The sequence below is a fragment of the Homo sapiens genome, chromosome 3 (genome assembly GCF_000001405.40).
Source record: "Homo sapiens chromosome 3, GRCh38.p14 Primary Assembly".
In the NCBI taxonomy this organism is placed as follows: domain Eukaryota; kingdom Metazoa; phylum Chordata; class Mammalia; order Primates; family Hominidae; genus Homo; species Homo sapiens.
In genome coordinates this window covers 130742254-130748253 of record NC_000003.12, presented here as the reverse complement: position 1 = coordinate 130748253, position 6000 = coordinate 130742254, and the positions used below count along the sequence as shown (strand labels likewise).

At 44.2% G+C, this 6000-nt stretch overlaps 1 protein-coding gene across 1 annotated transcript in view, besides 2 other annotated features; it reads left to right on the top strand.

The window, feature by feature from the left end:
• Positions 401-450: a silencer, noted in NCBI's record as "silent region_14734". NCBI's record gives its function as "represses an Ori minimal core promoter by ATAC-STARR-seq in GM12878 lymphoblastoid cells {active_cell/tissue: GM12878}" and the evidence as "EXISTENCE:reporter gene assay evidence [ECO:0000049][PMID:35858748]".
• The window catches only part of PIK3R4 (phosphoinositide-3-kinase regulatory subunit 4), a 67896-nt gene continuing 63320 nt past the window's right edge, over positions 1425-6000 (top strand). Inside the window, exons 1-2 of the mRNA NM_014602.3 lie at positions 1425-1936; positions 2990-3768. Of these exons, the coding sequence (NP_055417.1) occupies positions 3036-3768 (733 nt within the window). The 5' untranslated portion in view covers positions 1425-1936; positions 2990-3035. The remainder of the gene's footprint in view (positions 1937-2989; positions 3769-6000) is intronic.
• Positions 1685-1744: an enhancer, noted in NCBI's record as "active region_20523". NCBI's record gives its function as "activates an Ori minimal core promoter by ATAC-STARR-seq in GM12878 lymphoblastoid cells {active_cell/tissue: GM12878}" and the evidence as "EXISTENCE:reporter gene assay evidence [ECO:0000049][PMID:35858748]".

Genomic DNA, 6000 nt, shown 5'->3' with positions numbered 1-6000 from the left:
AGAAATGGGGGAGAACAGGGAGTGACTCCGAATGGTTTCAGGGTTTCCTTTTGGGGTAATGAAAATGTTTAAAATCAGGCAGGCTGGGCGCGGTGGCTCATACCTGTAATCCCAGCACTTTGGGAGGTCGAGGCGGCGGATCACTTGAGGTCAGGAGATCCAGACCATCCTGGCCAACATGGTGAAACCCCATCTCTACAAACAATACAAAAACTAGCGGCCGGGCGCGGTGGCTCACGCCTGTAATCCCAGCACTTTGAGAGGCCGGGTGGATCACGAGGTCAGGAGATCGAGACCACGGCGAAACCCCGTCTCTACTAAAAAAAAAATACAAAAAATTAGCCCGGCGCGGTGGCGGGCGCCTATAGTCCTAGCTACTCGGGAGGCTGAGGCAGAAGAATGGCGTGAACCCGGGAGGCGGAGCTTGCAGTGAGCCGAGATCGCGCCACTGCACTCCAGCCTGGGCGACAAGAGCGAGACTCCGTCTCAAAAAAAAAAAAAACAAAAACCTAGCTGGGCGTGGTGGCACGTGCCTGTGGTCCCAGCTACTCTGGAGGCAGAGGCATGAGAATCGCTTGAACCCGGGAGGTGGAGTTTGCAGTAAGCCGAGATGGCACCACTGCATTCCAGCCTGGGTGACAGAGCCAGACTGTCTCCAAAAGAAAAAAAAAAAGGCCGGGCGCGGCGGCTCACGCCTGTAATCCCAACACTTTGGGAGGCTGAGGCAGGCGGATCACGAGGTCAGGAGATCGAGACCAACCTGGCTAACACGGTGAAACCCCGCCTCTACTAAAAATACAAAAAAATTAGCCGGGCGTGGTGGCGGGCGCCTGTAGTCTCAGCTACTCGGGAGGCTGAGGCAGGAGAATCGCTTGAACCCGGGAGGTGGAGGTTGCAGTAAGCCGAGATCGCTCCACTGCACTCCAGCCTGGGCGACAGAACGAGACTCAGCCTCAAAAAAAAAAAAAAAAAAAAAAAAAAAAAAAAAAAAAAAAAAAAAAATTAAAATCAGATTATAGGGATGATTGCACAACTCGATAGATGTATTAAAAACTACTGCTTTGTACATTTTAAGCAGGTGAACTTTATGGTATGTAAGTTATATCTCACCAGAACTCTAAAAATCCAGCTTGGGATATATTAGTTTTCCTAAATATTCTTGAGTTCTCTTAACTCTGTTCTGCTGTCCTGGGAGTGAAGGCGTGTCTGAGCAGATTCTAGGGGATGTCAGAAACCTCAGCGTTCGTGAATGAAAGGTAGAAGAGCAGGAAGGGGAATAGATCTTTGTCAGAGCATCATTTTCTCCCTGTAGACTCGCCCAAAGTAAGACCACGCCTTCCCTAGTTTCCTAGCAACCGGTTTCCTACCCTGGCAATTCCTCAAGGCTCACTCTTTTTCGTCACTTCCGCTCGGCGACAGGAAGTGAGGTCAGACCGGTTGCTTTCCCGGGAGTTCGGCGTTTGCTGGGGCTGCAGCAGCTGAAGTGTAGTGTTTTCTTGGGACTGGCGGTCTGCACTTCTCTCCCGGGTTCCATCTCCCCCCGCCCGGTGGTGAGGCCCTCGAGGAGGGCTCGGACGGGTGTAGCGATCCGCGCTAGAGGAAGACGAGGCCCGGGAACGCATGTCCCCCAGGGCAGGTTAGGGGGCTGGAGGGGTCAAATCCCGGGGTACTTGTGGAGACTCTTTAGCGTGGCTTCTTCTCTCTGCTGAGACCCCGAGAGCTTTCCCAGTTCTCCTCCCAGGACCACCGGGGTTCCTGAAGATCGGGACTTTTCTGCGCCCCTCCACCAACAGCCCATCTCCTGTCTATGAAGAAAGACCCTTCGTAGAAACAACTTCCCCGCTGCTGACGCGTTTTCCCGTCCCGTCCCCGAAGTAGTCTACTATGACCTCGTTGTGAGCCTCTGAACGATTTTGACACTTTCCCGAGGCCTAGGGTAAATGTTTATGTGTGCTCAAGGTCGTGTGTGTATATGTGTGGCATTTATTTCCTGCAAAACCTGAGTTAGCAGAACCCTGGGGTACGTTTAGCTAGTGTATACTTTGGTCTGCTTTTCTTTAACATCTGTGGCAAGGTTTCTTGTTGCAGACCAGCGAAGTTTGCACCTTCTTTTAGCTGGGTGAGAGGGCACACTGGAATTAGGCAGGAAGTGTCCAGGAGTTAACTGAATTTTTAGATCTTAGTTTGACCTTTTCAGTTTTCAGTTTTTCTTTTTTTTTTTTTATTTTTTGAGACGGACGGAGTCTCGCTCTGTCACCCAGGCTGGAGTGCGGTGGCGGGATCTCCACTCACTGCAACCTCTGCGTCCTGGGTTCAAGCAATTCTGCGTCAGCCTCACGAGTAGCTGGGATTACAGGCACCCACTACCACGCCCGGCTAATTTTTGTATTTTTAGTAGAGACGGGATTTTAACCATGTTGGCCAGCCCCGTCTTGAGCTCCTGACCTCGTGATCCTCCCGCCTCGGCCTCCCGAAGTGCTGGGATTACAGGCGTGAGCCACCGCGCCCGGCCAGTTTTAAGCTTTTAATGTGTCTCTTTCTTATTTCCAAGAAACTACAGATTCTTGGACAAGAACTATGTCATATGGTAACTTTGTAATTCTCATAGCCCCAAGCACAGCACGGAACACATAGTAAAGGCTCATTAATATTTTAAATTTAAATATGAGAAAATAACACAAACTAACATTTTTGGCTTAAAGTTGAAGAGGCCTATCTAAATATAGTTCAGCTCCTGGAAATGGCGATGCGCAATAGCAGGGTATTTTTAGGTAAAATAACAAGGTCTTCTTGGAGAAAATAACATGGTCTTTTTAGATAAATGTGTGTGAAATTTAGAGGCTGCCCCAGAAGGCTAGGTACAGTGCTGTTAGTGGAAGAGAAGTATGCTGCATCTGTCTTTTTGGAAGAGACCAAATAATGGAATAATGGTGTTTCACAGCTTCTTTGTTTCTTGTCTTTTTTCTTCATTTGTTTTTATTTTAAACAGGTATTATATCCTAACCTTACTAAAGACCACAGAGGTGCTTGCCATTATGGGAAATCAGCTTGCTGGCATTGCTCCCTCCCAGATCCTTTCTGTAGAGAGTTATTTTTCAGATATTCATGACTTTGAATATGATAAAAGCCTGGGGAGTACTCGGTTTTTTAAAGTTGCTCGAGCCAAGCACCGAGAAGGCCTGGTCGTTGTGAAGGTTTTTGCAATTCAGGATCCCACATTGCCTTTAACCAGCTATAAACAAGAGCTGGAGGAACTGAAAATCAGGCTTAATTCTGCACAGAATTGTCTACCTTTCCAGAAAGCATCAGAAAAAGCATCTGAGAAAGCAGCTATGCTCTTTAGGCAGTATGTGCGAGACAATCTCTATGATCGCATCAGTACCCGTCCATTCTTGAATAACATTGAGAAGCGCTGGATTGCTTTCCAGATCCTGACAGCTGTGGACCAAGCACACAAATCTGGAGTTCGTCATGGGGACATCAAGACTGAGAATGTGATGGTCACCAGTTGGAATTGGGTTCTTCTAACTGATTTTGCCAGTTTTAAGCCCACTTATCTTCCAGAAGACAACCCGGCAGATTTCAATTATTTCTTTGACACATCACGGAGGAGAACTTGCTATATTGCTCCTGAACGTTTTGTTGATGGTGGGATGTTTGCCACTGAGTTAGAATATATGAGAGATCCTTCAACTCCGCTTGTAGACTTAAATAGCAATCAGAGAACAAGAGGAGAGTTGAAGAGAGCAATGGACATCTTTTCAGCAGGTATTTGAGTGGGTCACATTTGCTAAGGGAGCATGTGTTTTTCTTTTAACTGTTAAACAGAAATGTGGCTTTTTTTAGTCACCAGATATTGAAAAGTTAATGTCTTGGTTTGTCCTCAGACGCTATTTCAGTTAGAGGCAGCATTCCTGCATTGGATATGTTTAAATGCCTAGGAAATGCAAACAGCAGTTTATTTACACAAACATATAAACATATTTGCTTGCCTACTTTTATTGTATGTGTCAGGCACTGTCCTAAGTGCTAGGGATATTGGTGGATAATATATTTTCATAATGCTTCCATTTTAAAGTGACCGTGGATATTGCAAAAGGACATTTCAATGCGGTGTTGATTGCTGTGGTGGTGATAAGCATAGGGTGCTGCTATAGGAACACATAGATATTTAAATTAGTCCTCATGGTGGTGTTGAGTCAAGAGGTGGGATCAAGAAAGGCCTCTTTAATAGAAAGATGATATTTACATTGAAACCTGAAAGTTGATTGGGAGTTAACTTTCGTAGAGTAGTTTGTTTCAGGCAGAGGATGTTGCCTATACAGAAGCTTAAAGACCAGAATATGATGCACTGATGTGTTTTCTGGAACACAGTGTGAATTAAGCAAGGCCCAAACTCAGCCAGATCAGAAAGGGTCTGGCCTGACTGGAGCATGGAGAGTGAATTTTGCAGGGGAGCTACACAGAAGACAGGAAAACAAGTTAGGAGAAAACTGCCACAGTCCAGGTAAGATGATTGTGACCGGCTTAAGATTGTGGCAGAGTTGGAAGGAGTGGAGAGAAGTGGTAATGCTTAAGAGATAATTAGTAGATAGAATTGTTAGGATTCTGTCATTGGAAGGTGAAGTCACAGGAACTTCTCTCGCCCACCAAACTGAGTGGATGGTGATGCTGGTCCCTGAGACAGGGAGACACAGGAGGAGCAACAGGTTAGGTTGGGAAGATGATGAGGTCTGTTTAAGATATGGTAAGTTTGAGATTTCTGCCAAGTATGCAGGAGAAGATGTACAACATGTATTTGGTTATATTTTTATTTATTTTTAATTTATTATTATTTTTTAGAGGTAGGATCTCACATTGTTGCCTAGGTTGGTGCCCAGTGGTGCAATTGTAGCTCACTTCAGCCTCCAACTCCAATGATCCTCTTGCCTCAGCTTTCTTTGTGTAGCCGGGACTGCAGGCGTGCACCACCACACCCAGTTGACTTTTTTTTTTTTTAACATTTTTGGTAGAGACTATTTTACTGTGTTGCCCAGAATGTTCCTGAACGCCTGAGCTCAAGCTGTCATCCCACCTCAAGTTTCCAAAGTATTGGGATTACAGGCATGAACTACCACACCTAACCCAGCAGTTGGTTATAAATTTTTGGGCATAGAAATCTGGGATAGAGATGGAGATTTGGGAGTTATCAGGAAATAGGTAGTAATTGTAGCCAGGGAAAGGTTGTACAGAAGTGATTCTGAAGCTTTTTTGGATACCCTTAAAAAATTTAATGAAATCAGTGGACTCCTTCCCCAGAAAAATGTACCATGCATTCATTCCTATATATTATTTCACATACACAGACCACATGAAGCTGAGCTATGGATTCCAGATTATTTAAGAATTTGTGGGATAGAGAGGAAGAAGTGTGTTGAGAGTGGTACTCTGATAGACTTCAAAAGAAATCTGGCATCGGTGCCATTTTTGGTAAATTTTGTGATGGTTTGGCTTAATTTTTTTCTTGCTTGTAGGTTTATTACAAAAAACATAAATTGAGCCAAATTTTAGATTATTTAGGAAAATTAATTGATGAATGAATGTATTTCATCTACCAGAATGAATAATGTTATTCAGGATTGCACCTATGTTGGTCTATTCAGCTCACTAATCTGTGTCCCAAGATAATACTGAGAGATGTTTTGATAAGATAGGGTTAGCCTCAAGGTTGTAAATACAGTATAACAAGGTTAGAAATGTAATCCATCAAAGTTCCAGTTTTGTTGATCAGTGTATTAAAATTTTCTTGAACCATTTTTACATTTTAAACTCACTAATTGTTATGTAATCCTTTAGCTTAGGAATTGCGTCACTTTCAAACTTCAGGGGATCATTCATAGGTTTAAAATTTCAGTGGTTGATAAGCTTATTTTTATCCTTTTTTTGTGCATTATAGTTTTGTAAACTTCAACAAAATTCACACTCAGCATTTATTTTTCCAGACCAAAGAGCCTTACATTG